Source organism: Homo sapiens, chromosome 4, assembly GCF_000001405.40.
Source record: "Homo sapiens chromosome 4, GRCh38.p14 Primary Assembly".
NCBI lineage: Eukaryota > Metazoa > Chordata > Mammalia > Primates > Hominidae > Homo > Homo sapiens.
This window is the reverse complement of record NC_000004.12, coordinates 22,690,726-22,710,671: the sequence shown is the minus strand read 5'-3', so window position 1 is coordinate 22,710,671 and position 19,946 is coordinate 22,690,726. Positions and strand designations below refer to the sequence as shown.

Here is a 19,946-nt window from a genome sequence, read left to right as displayed (position 1 = left end):
CAAAACTCTAAGAAAACATTACTTGCCATCAAAGCCTCTGGCTTTAAAAATATTTATGAGGTTGAAATAGTTACCTGGAGGCAGACATTTCATTTCAATGTCATAGGTCAGGCACATTGGCTAACACCCCAGATAATATTGATGTACCTTCAAATTTTAAAATAATATTTATACCATTTATTTATTTATTCACATATAGAGCACCCATCCTGAAGTATCTGGGACACTGAACAAGGTTTACATAAATCTAACTGTTTTTTCCTCTGGGCCATTTGGCTCAGTCTGGTAGACCATAAATATTCAATAATACTTTACAATGACAAAGCATCTTTTATGCAAACATCTCTAAGCACATTATTCACTAATATTACAATCTCCTTTTTAACCTACTGGTAAAGTCACGGAAACTAATTGACTTTCTTCAAGGTCCCAGCACAAATTGTTTATTTTGTAGATTAGAGTCCAGGTGTTCCGATTCTAGTTATAACTAAAGGGAGAAACAAACAAACAAACACATTTTTTAGGTGCTTAAGCTGATGACCTACACTAAATATTTCTAAATTGAATCTATTAGGCAAGACGTCTTCCTTAAAGATGCTAAATGTTGTGATGCATCCAACTGAGTTTTATAACTTTTGTTCTCATTTGCCTAAGGCCAGTTACCATTTTCAGAGCCCCAAGAATGACCTAGTTTAATTGAATCCTGTTTCAAACACTTAAACTTTCACACTCTAATCAAATCAGGTTTCTAAATAGAAAAAGTTGGAACAAGAAAATAAAACTTGTCGTGGCAAGGTGCTGTTGACGTAATAGCAGAGCTGTACCAGAATATTCATGCAAATTAAAAAGCTAAACAGTTACTGTGAGATTTGGGCAAGTTTCAAAGAGTTAATGCTACCCAAGCAAAAGGAAATATTTTTAATTATTTATTTTACTTCTTCCCTCAAATATTAAATGCAGGTTACATATAGATAATTAATAAAATACCAAAAAATGGGATATTTTTTAATCACCCACAATTTTGTCTGTGACACCTATAGAAACACACTACAAAACCTACCTCCAAGCTCAGGGAGCATAACTGACTGAGCCTTCAGCCACTGAGCACTGAAACATGTCACAGCATTTCTACTGACACCACAGTTCCCCAGGCTGATCTCAGTCAATGCTGAGTGTGGCAAAGCTAAGAAAGTAGGCCTGTTCGTGGAGGATGTGCGACTCTTCTGACAGGTGACTTTGGATCAAGGACTCTCCAAAGATCCTGATGAACTTCCCTTTGAATTGCACTGTAGTCTAAATGGTTCACCCCAACTCCCTTTCTTCCTTTACTCTCTCCTTTGCTTGTCAGACATGCATGATAGCCTTTCCTGGCTCCCTCCCCATTTTCCCTGATGTTCATTTCCCTGAATAAATTTCTTGCACGTTCAATATCATCTTGGTATCTGTTTCTCAGAGGATCCAAACTAACATGCCACCTGATGGCAACAATGATGAAGACGATGAGAAGGATGATGATGATGATGATGATGATGATGATAACGGTGGTGGTAATAGTGGTGATAAAAATTATGATGGTAAAGGTTAGCATTTATTGAAGTCCTGTTTTAAAAGCCAAGCCCTGTGTTAAGAGACTGCCTAAATTATTTTATGCTGCCAATAAACTCCAATAAACTGCCAATAGGTGTTACTAACCTGAGAAAAGTAAGCCTTAAAGATACTAAACAAGAACAAGACCACATTACTTTTGAATATAAGAAGTCAAATTTGGAATTTTGGTTTTCTTATTTGAAATTTTGGTCTTCAATAGAGTGTAGAATCACTGGTACTAAAAACCACCAGTTTATATTACCTCTCTGTATTAGTATTTTGCAGTATAATCGTCCAGTTGTTTTTCTGGATAGTTATTCTATAATTACAGTTAACTCAAAACACAGAAGTAATAAGTAAAACCTATTTTACAAGAAATTGAACTGTGATCTTATTTTGGGTTTTGTCGATTTTTTTCCTTAGACTTGGGGAAAATATTTGCTTCTTTGTTACATGGGTATTGCATACATAATGGTGGGAGTTGAGCTTCTAGTGTACCCATCAACCAAATATTGAAGATTGCACCCAATAGGTAATTTTTTAACCCTTATCCCACCCCACCTCCCAGAAATTGAATTTTTACTTGAAGCTTTTGGTTCTTCTAAAATTTGCAGTTATCAACTTCACTTTGATTGTATAGACCTAATACAATCATTCGAATACTATTAGTAAACTTATTCTAATAAAGTATTTTCAGATTTGTATCATATATCAAGAGCCACTATATCAACTCTGTATAGTTTGGAGGAATTTTTCCAGATCATTAAAACAGACAAAGGTCAAGCAAATAAGCCAAGACCAAGCAACTTAGACAATTGATATCATTAAAGCATCTAAAATAACAATGCCTAGTCTCCAGTTTTAGAATTTATTGGCACTATTAAATAGACCACTTAATAATAAACCAATGGGCTTTTTCAAAATGAAAAAATTGGTACAATGAAATGCACTTAAAAAGATTTACATCCCATAGCATAGCATATTTCTAAGAAGGAACATTGGCTTGGAACTTGTAGCAGCTTATTAAATTAAGAACAGAACTCTGGTGGAAGCAATGCCATTTAGGATAATTTGAGATTCCTTTGACTCAAAAATAAATTGACTTTCCTGAAGGTACCTCGGGAATTATTGGGTCGGTCTTTAGTCCTGGCAGATTTCTTCTGGTGTATCAACATGGCTCCCTGAATGCAGTTTTCTGAAATTTTCATGCTAAACACTGATAAAAGTAGCTACATATGGTTAATCCTGCATATCTGACAATAGATTGTCAGCATAAAGAAGGGTTCCATCGGCAATGATCAAAAAGACCTTGTTAGATTTGCTTGAAAACCTGGCTTTGCCACGTCAAAACACATTTAAAAACCACCAGACTAGAAATGTTCTAAAGTTATTTCTCAGTCATTCTAAGGTTCTGTAAGAATGTCAGTTCTGTGTGGGTTTCCCCTGAGACTTTTCAATTCTTCTACAGAACTTAATCCAAACATTGCAACCTTGCTCATCTTTGCTTCTCTTCTTGTTTCCCTCTATCACCCTCTTTCAAGCATTCTCTTTCATTATGACTTTCACCATCAGCTGTGGTTTTCTAACAGAAAATCCAACCTGAAATGGAGACAGAAATTTTCAGTTGCCTCCCAGACAATTTTCTATAAATACCCTAAGGAATCTCAAATGAAATTGAAGCTGTTAAATTTCTACCACACAACCTCCAAGTCTGCTCCTTCTCTAGTGTTTTACTTCTCTTCATGGCATCCTCAGCCAGCCAGTTACCTAAACCATAATCACAAAAGTCACCTTAGTCTTCCTCCTATTTCCTTTATGCCCTAAATTGCATTTATGAACATATCCTTTTGGTTTTCCCTCAATGTTTTTTTACTCTTTTTTTCTCCATTCTGTTCCTGACACCCAAATTCAGGTCTTCATCATCATCTGCCTCATCTATGGCAATAACCCGACAACTTTTCCCCAGCTCCGTATCTCCTTCTTTCGGTTTATTCTCCACACTGCCATCAAAACTCTTTCAAATATACAGACCTGACTGTATTACACCCTTTGACTAAGTATATTTTATGGCTGTCAAATAGCTAATGCACATGATGCTAATACTAATTCCTTAGCCTAGCAGTTTACGTGCATCACGACATAAGGCTTCAGGTTCTGCCATTAACCCCGTCATCAGAAAACACAGCCTATGGCAGGCTTTATCAAAGCATGAGCAATCTACAAAACAATCATATAGGCACTTACAAAAAATATAAATTCCTGGCCCTCATCTGTGAATACTGTTATTATAGTTTCATATGAGGCCCCCAATCTACATTTTAATTAGAACTCCAAGTGATTCGAATACATCCTAAAGTATTAGAATTCTAACTCATGTGCCTACTTAACTGTACATGACTACACCATTCCAAAAATACAACAGAAGTATTTATACTTTTATGTCTCATGTCAAAATATTTTTTCTGCTAATATGCCCTTTCTTGTGTCTTTTCCTGGAAACAAAACAAAACAGAAAACATGTCTTCATAAAACCCAATTTAGATACCACAAGTAATCTCACACACTTTATTATTATTATTATTATTATTATTATTATTATTATTTTGAGATAGAGTCTCTCTCTGTTGACCAGGCTGGAAGCTAGAGTGCAATGGCATGATCTTGGTTTGCTGCAACCTCTGCCCTTCGGGTTTACTAGATTCTCCTGTCTCAGCCTCCCAAGTAGCTGGGATTACAGGAGCACACCACCATATCTGGCTAATTTTTTTCTGGGGTTTCACTATGTTAGACAGACTGGTCTTGAACTCCTGACCTCGTGATCTGCCTGCCTCAGCCTCCCAAAGTGCTGGGATTATAGGCATGAGCCACCACATCCGGCCTCACACACTTTATTCTTATTTCCCCATCCTGCCCACCTCTGCCGCAAAATACCCTTTTGTCTGTTCTATTGTTGGGGCTGTCACATCCTACTGTAGTCATGTACCTGCCTCTCTCCCCATCCAGAATGTCAGATTCAAGTGATCATTTTGTTCACCTTTATACTCCCAGGCTCTAGTAACCACAGTAGATAAATTTCTAATTGGGATTAACTACTAGCTACATAAAAAATAAAATGTAATTTAATTATTCACTTCATGCTAGGGAAGCCAGGTCTCCAAATACAACATGAGACAGAACTTTAAATTCTAGAGAACTTAATCCAGACATTGCAATCTTGCTCGTCTTTGCAGATGCGGATCTTTGGGATAGAACTTTTCTCAATCTTCTTACGTAATTTTCTCCAAGCATGAGAAAAGTCATCCAGCAACAAGCCAACCACATCACAGCTTTAGTATGGTGGTATCTGGTCTTTATTTCAGCCATGGAAAGAGTAGTAGGATGACCCTAGGGGGATATTTGGTCTCAGCTGTATAATATCTGTGCTGAGAACCTCTCAGTTCTCCCTTCATCAAACCACTCGGGAACAAGAATTTATGTGTGCCTACATTTGCCAAGTTCTCAGCACTATAAGGAACCAAAAGATGCACTAGAGTCCCCATTACCTCCATTACTGTATCCTGCTCTTCACACAAACGCAATAGGGAACGAGCAAAGCCGCTTTGTCATATTTCTCCCTGTGAAAGAACCTTAGTCTCCCACACTGTTACAGAGTGGCTGATGTGCAGCCCTAACCTGTGTCTGCAATCTAGTCCTGGATAATAACTTAAAAGATAAATGAAGTAATGGACCATCAAGAGAAAATGTTGCTTTTCCAAAGATCCCCAAGTATGCATCTGCATGATGGACTACAATGACTCCAAGGAAGATTATTGTCTTTAGAGTAAATAATACGCTTTTTTCCCCAAGTCTCAAAGCCTGTATTTAAATGATTATTCATAGGTGTTGTGGGAGACGTTAAGGCTGAGCTTGGCAATTCCCAACGTAAAAATGGGTAATGTTTCAAAAAACTTGTTTATGAGTCACCTGCCCAGAAACTCACCATTGCCTTTTACATTATGTTTCAAATTCCCAGGCAAACCCCCAAATCTATTTATCCTCATTACACACCTGAAGGGTATTTATTGACACCTACCCCCGTTTACAGCATTGTTCCATTGGGAAAATGTCCTCTCAGTTCCCAGTCAAATGGCATGCAAATACATTTCTACCTGCATTTGGAGGGGCATGGGGCATGGGGAAAGATGAAATAATGACAGGTGAATTTGATCATATATTCCCAGAAATCAGAATTCTGTTCATCTTATACATACATTTTTAAATGCCTGTCTCTAAATGATTATTGTTCACTAGGAGCAAAGAATTGCAGCCTCCACTATCAAGAGAGAGATTTTCAGAGTTTGGAAGTGGCTCCTACCCTCTCTTTGTTACCTTGATGAAATATAAACATGATTATAAGAAGATTTCACATTGAATCAGAAACTTCCAACCTCTTGTCTGTATGTTCCATTCTTCCTTTAACTCCATTAAGTGCATATTGTAATTAGTATACATTTTAAATAGGTTTTAAATGGGTGCATCATATGAAATATTTTCCTATTTTGAAGTAATTTAAAGCCGAATAAATTTACAGTTTTGAAATATAAAATAAGCTCTTTCAGATTTAAAAAAAACTTTTTTCTATTATTAAAATCTAAAGGATTTTTAAAATCTCATTTATTTTGTCAATTGGTTCTGCTTAACATTCTTCAGCCCAGTCCACTCTCAATTATCCACGCTAAGGAAGGGGGATCAGTGGCCTGGATAATCTAAAACAGCAGACGATTTTAAAAGCCCTTGTATTTGGCCTGGGCATACTTTACAATCAAATTCTGATTATCCACGCTAATGAAAGGAAGAGCAGGCACCTTGAGAAAGATCCAAAGCCAATATAGATCTGCTCGTCTGGTTGAGGGTGCCCCAAGGAAGAGGGCCACATAGTAGAACAGAAGGAAAACAGCAGGGCCCCAGCTGCTGCTGACGGCACCACCCACGACATGCAAAATACAAACACACAGCTGCAACAGTCATATCAACACCTCTCATGATGTTAGTCCTCTTTAGATACATGGAGTTATGTTCAAACGCCCCCAGGTAAAAAGGCATATTATCCATGCTGTTCCAAATTGTTAATATAATGTTTGTTCGTATATACTAAAAACCTCTTTTAGGGGTTCTCTTCACCCCCATCAGTCATCGAGCCCTTTACTACCACTGCCAAGTTCACAGTAACACACTTGGGAGAGTAGCATAAAAGATGAAAGAGGCAGTGTGCTGGAGTAGCTCAAGCTCCAGCCTGGAAGTGAGAAAGGCTGGATCTTTGTCATCTTTTGATCTCTGTTGATGCCAATAGTCATGTATATTCAAGCAAAGGGAACAGCATGTGCAAAGGTACAGAGGCATGAAGGTCATGGCACATTTAGCAAATTCCATGTGCTTTATTTTGGTCAAAGAGTAGGATACAAATAGAGAAGAAGCAAGAGGTGAAACTGGAGTTGCAGTCAGAGAGAAAATTGCAGGGTTTTCTTCTGCTATTCAAAAAGTTCAGAAATTATCCTGCAGAAGGTCAGAAGACATTTCAAGTTCTTTAACAATTGTTGACATTTACTGAACAGTTAAGATTTGCACAGCATTGTTCTATGCATTTGTTACTTATGAACACATTTATATTTACAATGATCCCAAGATAAGCACTATCACCGTTCTCATTTTGCAAATAAGGAAACTGAGGCCTGCAAAGCTTAGATATCTTCCAAGATCATACAATTGATAAGTGGAGTCAGGGTTTAAATCCAGTCTGTTTGATTTCAGAGCTCATCCTCTCTCTCTGAAAATGGAATAATGTGGTCAGATTTGTAAAAGACCATGCTAGAAGTAATATGCAAGAGAAATTGGAGGAGAGTGGAGAGGACAGAAGGAAACTTTAAGAAGATAAGAAATGCTAAGTTCCAGAAGGAAAGGTAGTAGCAATGAAGAAGATGGGTATAATCAAGAGGTTTAGAGGAGATAGAATAAAAAGGAATTGGTAAAATGAAGGAGTAAGAGGAACAGTCTAGCTTATTTCTGGTTTGGGCACTTGTGTGACGGTCTAATAATTTTTAAAGATTCATTTAACCTTGTGCACCAGTGAATTTAGCTAGGAAGCAACACCTACCAGATGGGCAAGCCGAGGAAGGAACAGCACAACCAACACCTTTTTTTCCTCCAGTACAAGGCTGGCACATATTTATTCAAGTAAACAAATGTCCTCTCTTAACTGACTAATTTAGTAATGACAAAAAAATTCATGTATGACTGTGTGGTCCAACAGATAGAACCCCTACACCAAACAAATAATTAAGATACAGTTATTTTTATCTGGTTTCTCAAAGTTAAATATATTGGCTCACATTTAGCTTTCTGTGTAACATCCTTGTGCACTGTAGAAACACAGATAAGGGAGAGAGGGAACAGGAAGAGGAGAAAGGATGCAGAGAAGTGTTATAGCTTATCAAGATATTTCTAAGTGTGTTAAGAAAACCACAACCATTTACAGAATGCTCTTATCAGAGAAATAAGTGTATAGGTACATGTATGTCTACAGATACATAGAAAAATACTGAAAATATACATATTCTAAAATTTTAAATATCTACTGGCTAATTATTTTATTTTTGGCTTATTTGTATCTTTTAAATGTTCTAAAATTATCTTGTATTCCTTTCATAATACAAAAAATATTTCTAAACTTATGTGACTAGCACCCACTCTACTCAGAATCTTGCTGATACAAAAGAATATACAGCCAGACGCGGTGGCTCACGCCTGTAATCCCAGCACTTTAGGAGGCCAAGGCAGGCAGATCATTTGAGGTCAGGAGTTCAAGACCAGCCTGGCCAACATGGTGAAACCCCGTCTCTACTAAAAATACAAAGATTAGCCAGACCTGGTGGCAAGTGCCTTAATCCCAGCTACTCAGGAGACTGAGGCAGGAGAATTGCTTGAACCTGGGAGGCAGAGGTTGTGGTGAGCCTAGATCGTGCCACTTCACTCCAGCCTGGGCGACAGAGTAAGACTCCATCTCAAAATAAATAAATAAATAAACCTTTCCAAAAAAAAAAGAATATACAAACAGGCAGACCGACACTTATCAATAAATAACTTACATATACACATAGGGAGGGCAGCAGATACCTTTCAGCACTGCCCATGAAGCCAGCTGAGGTACAGGAAAACTTAGTAGATGCAGAATCTGTGTTCAGGAATTGAGGGAGGTAATAAATTATGAAAAATGCAAATGGATTGGATCAGCTGACCTCAAAAGCAGATGATGAGACATGTTTTCTTTCTCAGTCATAGTCACCTCCCCCTACTATGACTTTTCTCACAGTATCTGAATATTTTGCTTTCTCTTGTTATACTGTCTGAAATTCCATTAATTCCACATTAGCTCATTTTCTTAGTCCATTCTGGCTGGTATAACAGAATGCCATAGGCTGACTGGCTTATAAAGAACAGAAATGGTTCAACTCGAACTTATGAGTGAGAACATGTGGTGTTTGGTTTTCTGTTCCTCTGTTAGTTTGCTGAAGATGATGGTTTCCAGCTTCATCCATGTCCCTGAAAAGGACATGAACTCATCCTTTTTTATGGCTGCATAGTATTCCATGGTGTGTATGTGCCACATTTTCTTTATCCAGTCTATCATTCATGGGCATTTGGATTGGTTCCAAGTCTTTGCTTTTGTAAATAGTGCTGCAATAAACATACATGTGCATGTGTCTTTACAGTAGAATGATTTATAATCCTTTGAGTATATACCCAATAATGAGATTGCTGGGTTAAATGGTATTTCTGGTTCTAGATCCTTGAGGAATCACCATGCTGTCTTCAGAGAGGGGAATATCACACACTGGGGCCTGTCACAAGGTGTGGGGGAAGGGGAAGGAGAGCATTAGGACAAATACCTAATGCATGCGGGCTTAAAACCTAGATGACAAGTTGATAGGTGCAGCAAACCACCATGGCACATGTATACCTGGCACATGTAACCTGCACGTTAATCACATGTATCCCAGAAGTTAAAGTAAAATTTAAAAAAACGAAAAAAAGGAAAGAAATTTATTCCTCACAGTTCTAGAGGCTGGAAGTCTAAGATCAAGGTGCCACTACAGTCAAGTTCTGGTGAAGATGCCTTCCTGGTTGATAGATGGCTGACTTCTTTCTGCATTCCCACATGGCTGGGATCTCTTTTATTTAATATGAGGCAGAATTCCCATTCGTGAGGGCTCTGCCTTCCTGACTGTATTAGTCTGCTTTCATGCTGCTGATAAAGACATACCCAAGACTCGGTAATTTATAAAGAAAAGGAAGTTTAATGGACTCAGTTTTATATGGCTGCAGAAGCCTCACAATCATGGCAAAAGGTGAAAGGCACATCTTACATGGTGGCAGGCAAGAGAGAATGAGAACCAAGTGAAAAGGGAAACCCCTTATCAAACCACCAGACCTTGTGAGACTTACTCATTACCACGAGAACAGTATGGGGGAAACTGCCCCCATGATTCAATTATCTCCTATCAGGTCCCTCACACAACATGTGGGAATTATGGGATCTCCAATTCAAGGTAAGATTTGGGTGGGGACACAACCAAACCATATCACTGATTAATCACCTCCCAAAGCCCCCACCTCCAAATACCATCACATATGGGGATTAGTGTTTCAACCTATGAATTTGAGGGGAACACACACATTTAGTCTATAGCACTCATCTTCTTCATTAAAAAGCACAGGACTAGAAAACTTCTAGAAGTTGGATATATTAGTGATGACAAGGAGGATGATAATGGTAAAAGGGGGCAATTCATTCATTAACTTTGCATAGAACCTCATGATTTATGAGGCACTTTCAAATATTAATGCATGTTAATAAAGACTTCTACATAAGTTAATATTATATTAAAGTCTTTAAATATTTCCAATTCAAGGTGGGGAATACAGTGAACATATTTAATTCCTTTTCTTCTCACAACCCCATTGAAATAACAGTAAATAAGAGAAGGAATCCACAACTGAGCTGAAAACAAACAAACAAAAAAGGTCCCAATAGAACAAAACATTTACTAAAGTACTTTTCTGGGCCAACCAATTCAGACAGAAGTCCAGGCCTCAGAGCAATCATTATGGTAATTAAAGGATTATCTTATAGCTTGTTTGATGGGTTTTTCTTCTCCATAAACAGGGTCATTGGTTCTGCCTTTACCCCATGTTGAAGTCCTAAGAAATGCTTCATAAAAGTGAGACGTGTGACTGGGGAGGACTCCTATCATGGGTACTGAGGCCATAGAAAAAAAGCAGAACAAACTCTAGAGCTAAAAACATGAACTTGAAAGGACGTGCAGAAAGGAAACACAAAAGTTAAAATCAAGCACACTCCTCCTTAAAGTCCTTGCTATATGGCAGTTATCAAGGTCTAAATTTTGGCTGTTTCCACTCACACGCATAATCTTTTGTGAGACAACTGACTGTCAATAGATCCCACCAACTTATATAGAACTCTGTTTTCTTATAGAGCCAACCCTGACTCAGTTCATAGAACTATCTAACTTCAAAGGAAGCCTATATCAGTTACTGGTATTAATCAAGATAACCATTCATTCATAAACATCATATGGCATTTGACAAAAAACAAGTAACCCGAAACATAAGGACCAAAATTCTTTGATACACACAAAAAAGAGAAATTAATTTTAAAAGTTTTCATTGTAAATTGGTCATTTATAATTATGTATATTAACACAGTATGAAGTGATGTTATTATTGATGAATACGAATTTTAAAAATTAAATCAAGCTGGCTAACATATTCATCACCTCAAATACTTAACATTTTTATGGTGGGATCATTTGAAATTTATTTTCTTAACAAATTTGAAACATACTATATTATTAACTACATAGTTAATAATTTTTTGAGATGCAATAGATCTCAAAAAAAATTTTTTTTCTCCTATCTGACTGAGGTTTTTTACCCTCTGATCATTATCTCCCAAGATTCCCCCACCCGCTAGCTATGTAACCACTATTCTCTTCTCTGCTTCTATGAGTTTGATTGTTTTAGATTCTACATGTAAGTGAGAACATGCAGTATTTTCTTTCTGTGCCTGTCTTATTTCACTTAGCATAATGTCCTCCAGGCTCATCCACATTGTCTCAAAGGACAGAATTTCCTTTTTTTTAAGGCTGAATAGTTTTCCATTGTGTATATATTCCACATACTCTTTATCCATTCATTTGTTTATGGACACTTAAAATTGATTCCAATATAGATATTGTGAATAGTGCTGAAATGAATATGGAAATACAGACATCTCTTTTACAAACTGATTTCAAATCTTTGGGGTAAATACCCAGATGTGAGATTGCTGGATCAGGAACTTAATTTTTTTAATTAGCATTATTAAAGAGATTTGAGAGGTGACAACATCCAGAAAATAAAATATGTCTCCTGAAACAGAAGCAATTAAATAATTCATTCCTAAAAATTAGAAATATGAGTGCCAAAAATAAATATTCAATAGAGGAGTTGAAAAATAGAATGAATTCAGCTAAAGTCCAAACACAGTTAAAGTATCGTCATTTGGAATAAAAAGTTGAAGAAATTAATCAAGATCCAAAGAAGCACAAAATGTAAGAAAAAGGTCTCCAACATTCATCCAATGAAATTTTTTAAAAAGAGAGAGAGATCAGCATTAGGAATTTGCAAGTGAGAAATTGGAGACTTAGAGAAGTTAAATAATTAAACTGTCTAGTAGTCTATAAACAGAGTCCAATATATTTTAGATGTGTCCCCCTCCTAAGCCCAAGGTTGAAATTCAATCAATACATCTAAATGTGGCCTTGGTAGTTGTGTATGGCTGACGTCCACTCTGACCGGTCAATCCAAATGTCAGTCTAGTCTATGCCTACTATTTATAGTTGGCATCTGATTGGTGAGCATGGCGAGTATATTTGTTGATTAATATTTGAATATCATCCCTCTCTAAGCCTGTACTCTTCCAATGATGCCTACATCATTAATTTCATGGTACAATGAAAAAGGAGGGCAATATTTGATATTTTTGTGAATTTCAAATTTGAAACTGGGGGAAAGAAATAAGAATGGTTTCTGTCATGTCAACTTTTAAGCTATGATAAATTTCATGGGTAAATGCCCACTTCTCTGCTCCCTGTTTCCTTACATACCAAGAAATAAATGACCATGCTTTAAGTCTGCTTCCCTTCCGTCTTTCTTAGGTGGTCCAGACAAGGAGCATATCTGTCTGGATATTCCTCTTCTTGAAGAGTACCAAGAGCAGCCAAGAGATCAAGTCTCAGACTGCGATGTTTAATCCATGGGATTTGGCAGAAAATAGAGACCAAGACACACAGTTAAAATCCGTTGAGTGAAGAAAGCAATCAGGAAGTGGTCTTAGAGAAATATGGGGCTTGTGCTGACATTTACAACGAGTAGATGAAGTGTGTCTCCAGCTTAGGTTTGTGTGAATCAGTTGAGTTTTTTTAAAAAAAGGACCAAAGAAAAAACAGCCTATATAGAAACACCATAAACTCAACTTATAACCAAAAAATACAGCTGCCATGTTCTTTTTCCAATTTTTTAAGGGAACACACACATGCACACACACACACACACACACAAATGTCTTAACTACAAGAATCCACCTTTAACGTATGGCAAATAGAGATGGCCAAAGTCTGAGGCAATCCCCAATTTCTGCCGACATAAAACCAAAGTCAAACTTAAAATCAACTGTTATATTAGAGTAATATCAAGGATTCACAATGGCATTCCTAAAACTGAGAACTTTGGCTCCTTAAAAACCACAAACTCAGATCCCACTAGGAAGCATTAACAGAGTAGTTTAGACTTTGCTTAGGATTTGTGGGATTTTGCAAAGCATGTTCGCTCCTTAAGAGCCTTCCCTGAAATCACCGGGAGTTAGAAGCTCATAAGAACTGTAGAATTGGGTCCTCAATGTCATTTTCATATCTCTTCCGTGGCCTACCATCAAAGTAAACAAAATGCCACGGAGCTACCTGATGTTTTTGCACCTCACGTTCCCTCCAGCCAAACACAGAGGACAGAGTCAGCTTCACAAGGGGTTAAAAATCATGGGAATTTTTCTCTACTTAAAAACATTGCGGGAGACTCACTTCTGTATGTACGATGATTTTTTGCACTTTCTTCCCTGCCTCTTAGTCTAACAAATACATTTTTTAGGTTTTACATGGTTCTTTACAACTCACCTAAAACACATAATTTTCCTCCTGCTTATACCATTTATTTATTATTTATTTATTAGATTCGTATTGTGCTTTCTTCCAAAAGGCTCAAGGCACCATGCAGTCAACTCTTATGTAATAACATTAAACTCTTCTATAAGACCATAAACAGTGAAATAGCCAGAGGAGAGGAAGAAAGGATCTGAACAAGGACAGGACAAAGGAAAGGCCGTGATTCCGGCAAAATACGCAACCAAGTAGTCAATGTGTTAGGAGACCTGGTGATAAGGCCCAGTCCCTGCCCCTCTCAGTGGGGCCCACCTGCAAAGACCCTGACAGTATTTTCTATATGGAGACAAAATATCTCCATTTTCGCAGTGAGGGTGAGGGAGAGTATGCTAGTTATTCTTCAGGGATTTCAAGAGAGTATCTGAAAACAAATATACCAATACAGACAACTGTATTTTGAAATACAGTGGAAAGAGAGACAGTAGAAAGAGATACGTGGTAATGTTTTATAACAAATCTTTAAAAGTGTTAGATTTTTTTACAAATACAATTCAGGCTCAGTCCTCAGCTCTGCTGAGTGTCTCCTGACTTCCAATGCATCTACAGACCTTCCAAGGCCAGGGCAGCACAAAACTGCAAAGATTATCAAAATCAAAAAGAGACAGGCTGTTCTCGGCTTTAAATCCAAGCCATGCTGATTTGATAAAGCCACGAGTGAACTTCCTGCACTGTAATCCAGTCGATGGTGGGAGAAATGGTTAAACAGTAACTCTCCTGGCAACTGCTGGTGAAGTAGTCAAGCATGAGCAAGGAGGGAATAGATTCTAACTAGCAGTCCAAACAAGAAATGACCATTCCCACTAAATGGAGTAGACAGTGTAACTCTCCTTCTCTCAGAGTGCAAGAGAATACAGCCAGGAGAAAGAAAAATAATAATAGTATTGGCATTAATATTAGTATTTGGTGAGCACTACATGGGGGCACTCTTATACCACAGTTACATATGCTTACCTCTTCAGTCCCTAGAACCAATCTACAGAGAGAGTATGACTATGTTTCAAATTTCACAAATAAGAAAACTGAGGCTTAAATATATTATTTGCCCAAAGTCACTCTGCTAGTAAGTGCTTGAGCTAAAATTCACACACAGCACAAAAGGATCAGGAAGAGCTCCTAGGGTGGAAAGCAAGCAAGCATGCAAAAGTTATGCTGTGAGTTGACAAAGATAGCAGGCTGATGGCTCTTGGCAGAGCATGATGGATCAAGTACCCTACCTAGTAAACTATAGATAGTTAACAGCAGGTTAGAGGCCACAAATAAAGACCTCAAAATATGGCAGAAGCAAGCCTAAGTCCGAAGAGCATAGGACAAACTGGCTCCAAGCAGACAGAAGAGATGCAACAGTATTGAGATCATGTGAAGAGAGGAGCTCAGAATGGGCCAGTTAATGTTACCTCCAGGTCCTAAGTGGGCAGGAACTCAAAGTTAGTAGTTGAAACCCACTCTATTGTCTTGTATAACTGCATATTTATGCCAAGTTAACTGTAGAGTTCCATAGTGAATCATTCTTTGTAATCCTTTTGTGATCCTCCCAGATATGAATATGATGCATCGAGCACTCACTAAATGCCAAGTACTTAACACACATTATCTTATTTAAACCTCATAGCTGTGCTACACAGGAGACACCATAATAATCTCCATCTTACAGGTGAGGAGGCACAGAGAAGATGAGTCATTTGGACAAAGTCACAAATCTAGTAAAAGGAGAGATGGAATCCAAGTCTAAAGAGTCTTCCCCCAAAGCTCATCTTAATAATCACCAATGCTATGTTGCTTCTAGAATCTGATTCTATTTACACCATTCTGGTGCTCTACCATGCTTTCTCGGATTTTTCCGACCTCTCTTTTGAGACGGAAACTAACAAAGATCATTGCTTTTGTTTTTATTCCCAGAGGGTCAGCCTATTCAGTCACCCTCTACAACAAAGTGGAAATTATCTGGAAGAAGATGAAAGAAGATCCCATGTAGCGAAAAAGGTGGCATGGAATCTCAGCCAACCAGGACACTGTCAGACGTTCCTTTAAAAGAGCCTTGTATCACAGATCATATATGTGCAATAATATACATAATCCCCCAGTGGGAGATGTCTTCTACATGGCAGTTATCACAACTGTGTAGTAAAGATTCCTCCTTCCCATTCTAGAGGATGGGGAAATAGCAATTGAAGCTAGGAATCACAGGCAGCATGGGTTGTACCAGGATCAACTTGTCCTGTTTCTTTGTCTAGAAAGATCTCCCCATATTCAAATGGCAGTCTCCTCCTCATACCTTAAGTTTAGACGGAATGATGCTAGTTCACAAAGATCCTCCTTGATGACCCATCCTGAAGAACTGGTTTTCACGTGACCCTTTCCCACAACATCCTATTATCACCATAGCACTTACCATAGCAGTCATTATTTCATTGATTGATTGACTTGTTTTTCTCGGTGTATAAGTTTTCTAGGGGTGCTGTAACAAAGTGCCACAAAATGAAAGCCTTGAACAACAGAAATGTATTCTCTCACAGTTCTAGAGGCTGGAGTTCCAAAATCAAGGTGTCAGCAGGCTCATGGACCCCCAAGTCTCTAGGTAAAATCCCTCTTGCCTCTTTCTAATTTTTAGTGGCGACTATTGCTCCTTAGCTTACTGTAACATTCCAATCTCTCTCTCACACACGGTGTTCTCCTTGTCTCTTTGTCCAATTTTTCTTCTTTCAAATTTCCAAATTTCTCAGTGTCCAAATTTCCTTCTTTTTAGGACACCGGTCATATTGGATTGCATATCTGCCCTACTCCAGTATGATCTCATCTTAACTTGGCTAATTACATCCTCCAGTGGCCAATTCTGGCTTCTAGAACCGTAAGAGGATAAATTTATGTTGTTTAAGCCCCACAGTTTATGATATTTTATTATGGCAATCCTAGGAAGCTACCACAATAACTCACTTTGCTTTGTTTAATCCAGGGTTTCATATACTTATTTGACCAAATAAATATTTTCTCCATGGTAGCTATTAACAATCTCTAACTCCCTTTGTGGAGGGGAAGGGGGGACATACGTGTTTTAGAAAAGTAAAGCTCATCTTCCTATTTCACAGATGAAGAAACTGAGACTCAAGGAGGACAAAGAATTCACACACTTGTGTGTGGTAGGATGAGGATCAGAACTTGGGCTCCACAGGCACTCTGGGTGCTCTTTACCATTTGCTTCTATTTACTTCTCAGCTGCCCCAGGAAATATGGTGGCATACAAGATTAGGCTTGGCTTGGCGCTCACTAAGAATAGAACAGGGAACTTTTCCCAATTAATGAAGGGCTCTTTGAAAAAATCGACCCAATATTCTTCCAGCCAATAGAAAAAAATGATTCTCCTTTGTAGAGGAGTTGGGGCAAATGGATTCTAAAAATCAATTATAAAAGCAGCTGGTCCAATGTAAACTGATGTCTCAGCTGAGTTTGGACTGACTGAAAATCCAGCCACAGCTTGGTTTTCACCTCTTCATCCCTCCACCCTTCCTTGTGCCTAAAGAGACAAGAGAATGTGAGCCCCCACCCCTGACATGTTTGAAAAGGGAAACAAATTCATTGATAACATTGTGGTCTGTTCAATTCTTTGCTTTTCTTTTTGCCTCCTTACCCCACCATCTTCCTCAGGTACACAGGACACACCAGAAATAAAGCACTCCCACCCCAGTGAAGGGGAGAGAGTGTCCCCTACCTTCTACTTGATAAGCTGCAGTGGCTGCCGCCCATCCAAATCCTGCAGGGAAAGCCATGGTTTAAGAAGCTGTCTACTGGGATCTTCAGCTGCCAGAAGCAGAGCACCCTTTGGCCAGAGGAGCCAGGCAATTGTGCAAACAGAAAATGAGCTCTCACCCTAGAATGAAGCCTCAGAATACAAATATTTATGCAAACAACAAGGAAGCAGGGGCAAAGGACACTTGACTGCCACAGCCTTGATAAGAATCCAAGATACTTTGTACAAGGCCATCATTTATACTTTCTTCCCCCAGCACTCCCTGATTCTTAACAGAGTTGATAACCCTGGGTGCTAAGTCCCTGATTTGGCAGGGCACCCATTTACCTGATGTTTTGCCTTTTAAAGTAACATGAACATTGTTTTAAAAAGTCATTATCATCCTACTAGAATTTTCCCTTAGTTCATTCATCCCAATTCCTGATCCGTACTCTGTAGAGGTAACCACTTTTAACCATTTCTTCTGATATTTAATCCCATATTGTGTAAATAATAGGGTGTTGCTGCTTATTTTTTTCAATTTTAGATAATTATTGACTTCTGGGTATAGGGCAGAGGATCTAGCACTCTCTCTCTCTGTTCCTCCTCCCTCCTTCTCTTCCACCTTCTCCCATCTGGCCAACATGATAAAATTACCTTTTCATTTAAATGAATTCAATATTTATATTTCTATGAGTCTGTATGGCTCAAAGCTGAGCCATATAGTATACATACCATGCTTCCATGCAACTTTTAATTTTCTCTAGGGTTAATCCACTGCCTGATCTTTATGTTTATTTCATCTTCTTTACACCTATTACTAATTCATCCCCAAACACTCTGACAGAAGAATACATCTCTGAGTTGTTCAAACAACTCTGTCTTCCTGCTCCATTCTGCACTGTTTATTTTTTAGGACACCACAGAGCTTTGACCCACGATCTCCTTCACATCATTCAGAGAGGCTCCTTCACCTCTCCCCTGGTCTTTCTGTTTCTTTTCCCGCTTTAGAGAAGCACATCCTCAAATAACTGTCTGATAAAGGGGGCATGGGACATAAATATTTCAAAACTCTGTAGTTGCTCTGGAATTGTCTTTAGTCTAACATTGCTCTTAATATGCAGTTTTGTACAGGATTTTATGATGAAAATAATTTTCACTCAGAATTTTGAAGGCATTGGTTCCTGATTTTCTAGCTTCTGGTGTGGCTACTGACAAGTTTGATGAGAATACAAGTCCTGTTCTTTTATATGTAAACTTTTTTATTTCCCCAGCCCACCCTCTCTGACCCCCAAGTTTCTGTTTCTGAAATTTCAGTCATGTTCATTGGTGTGGAACTTCTGTCCATTGTGCCAGGAACCCAGTGGGTATGGGTTTCCACAGAAATGTACATGTTAACAGTAGGGGAAACTGGATGAGGGGCCATGGGAACTCCCTGTACTATCTTTGAAGCTTCTGTGTAAATCTAAAATTGATCCAAAATAAAAAGTTTATTTAAAAAAAAATGACTATGGATTGGGAGGCCAAGGCGGGCGGATCACTTGAGGCCAGGCGTTCGAGACCAGCCTGGCCAATGTGGTGAAACCCTGTATCTACTAAAAATACAAAAATTAGCCGGGCATGGTGGCAGGCGCCTGTAATCCCAGCTACTCGGGAGGCTGAGGCAGGAGAATCGCTTGAACCCAGGAGGCAGAGGTTTCAGTGAGCTGAGATTGCACCATTGCATTCCACCCTGGGCAACAGAATGAGACTCCATCTCAAAAAAAAAAAAAAAAAAAAAAAAAGACTATGGAAAGAGAGGAGGTATGTATAACCGAAGTGAGGAAAGTTACTTACTCGGTTTCTCTACATTGCCATTAAATCATTCTACATTGTGTAATGACAGGAACATAAAGTTTGAAACAAGGTATAAGTAGGTTGAAATCCTACCTTCTCCAGTTATCCTAACTCTAAGAAGAGATTATATACAGAAAGAAATTGGAAAAGACACTGAAGATATTTAAAGGTACATGTTTGGTGAAATAACCTAACAAATGCATGGCAAACTATTAAATTTGGCTTATGTTGTCATTCAGTTCTGAAGCAATTGTAAATTGAGAGAAAAAATAAATATCGAAATGTTTTCACGATAGAACGCTAGATGGCAGTATTGCAATTTTTTTAGGTTTGCAAGTTGCAGTATAAAGTGGTATTAAAATTCAGTTATTTCACTAATGGCTGTCTACACCAGTCGCCCCTGGCTAATTACTACTGCTCTTCTAAAGATACTTCTCCAGAAGAAACAATCTATCTTCTCAGTGCTTCACATACTCTGAAGTTATTAGTCCACA

General features: G+C 38.2%; 1 pseudogene across 2 annotated transcripts in view; it reads right to left on the bottom strand.

Annotated features, from left to right (window-relative positions):
* Positions 1 to 17,735, bottom strand: part of GBA3 (glucosylceramidase beta 3 (gene/pseudogene)) — a 126,633-nt pseudogene extending 108,898 nt beyond the window's left edge. For both annotated transcript variants that reach the window (NR_102355.2, NR_102356.2), the window contains exon 1: positions 17,599 to 17,735. The product of NR_102355.2 is annotated as a glucosylceramidase beta 3 (gene/pseudogene), transcript variant 1, non-coding (transcript). The remainder of the gene's footprint in view (positions 1 to 17,598) is intronic.
* Between the last annotated feature and the right edge of the window lie 2,211 nt (positions 17,736 to 19,946).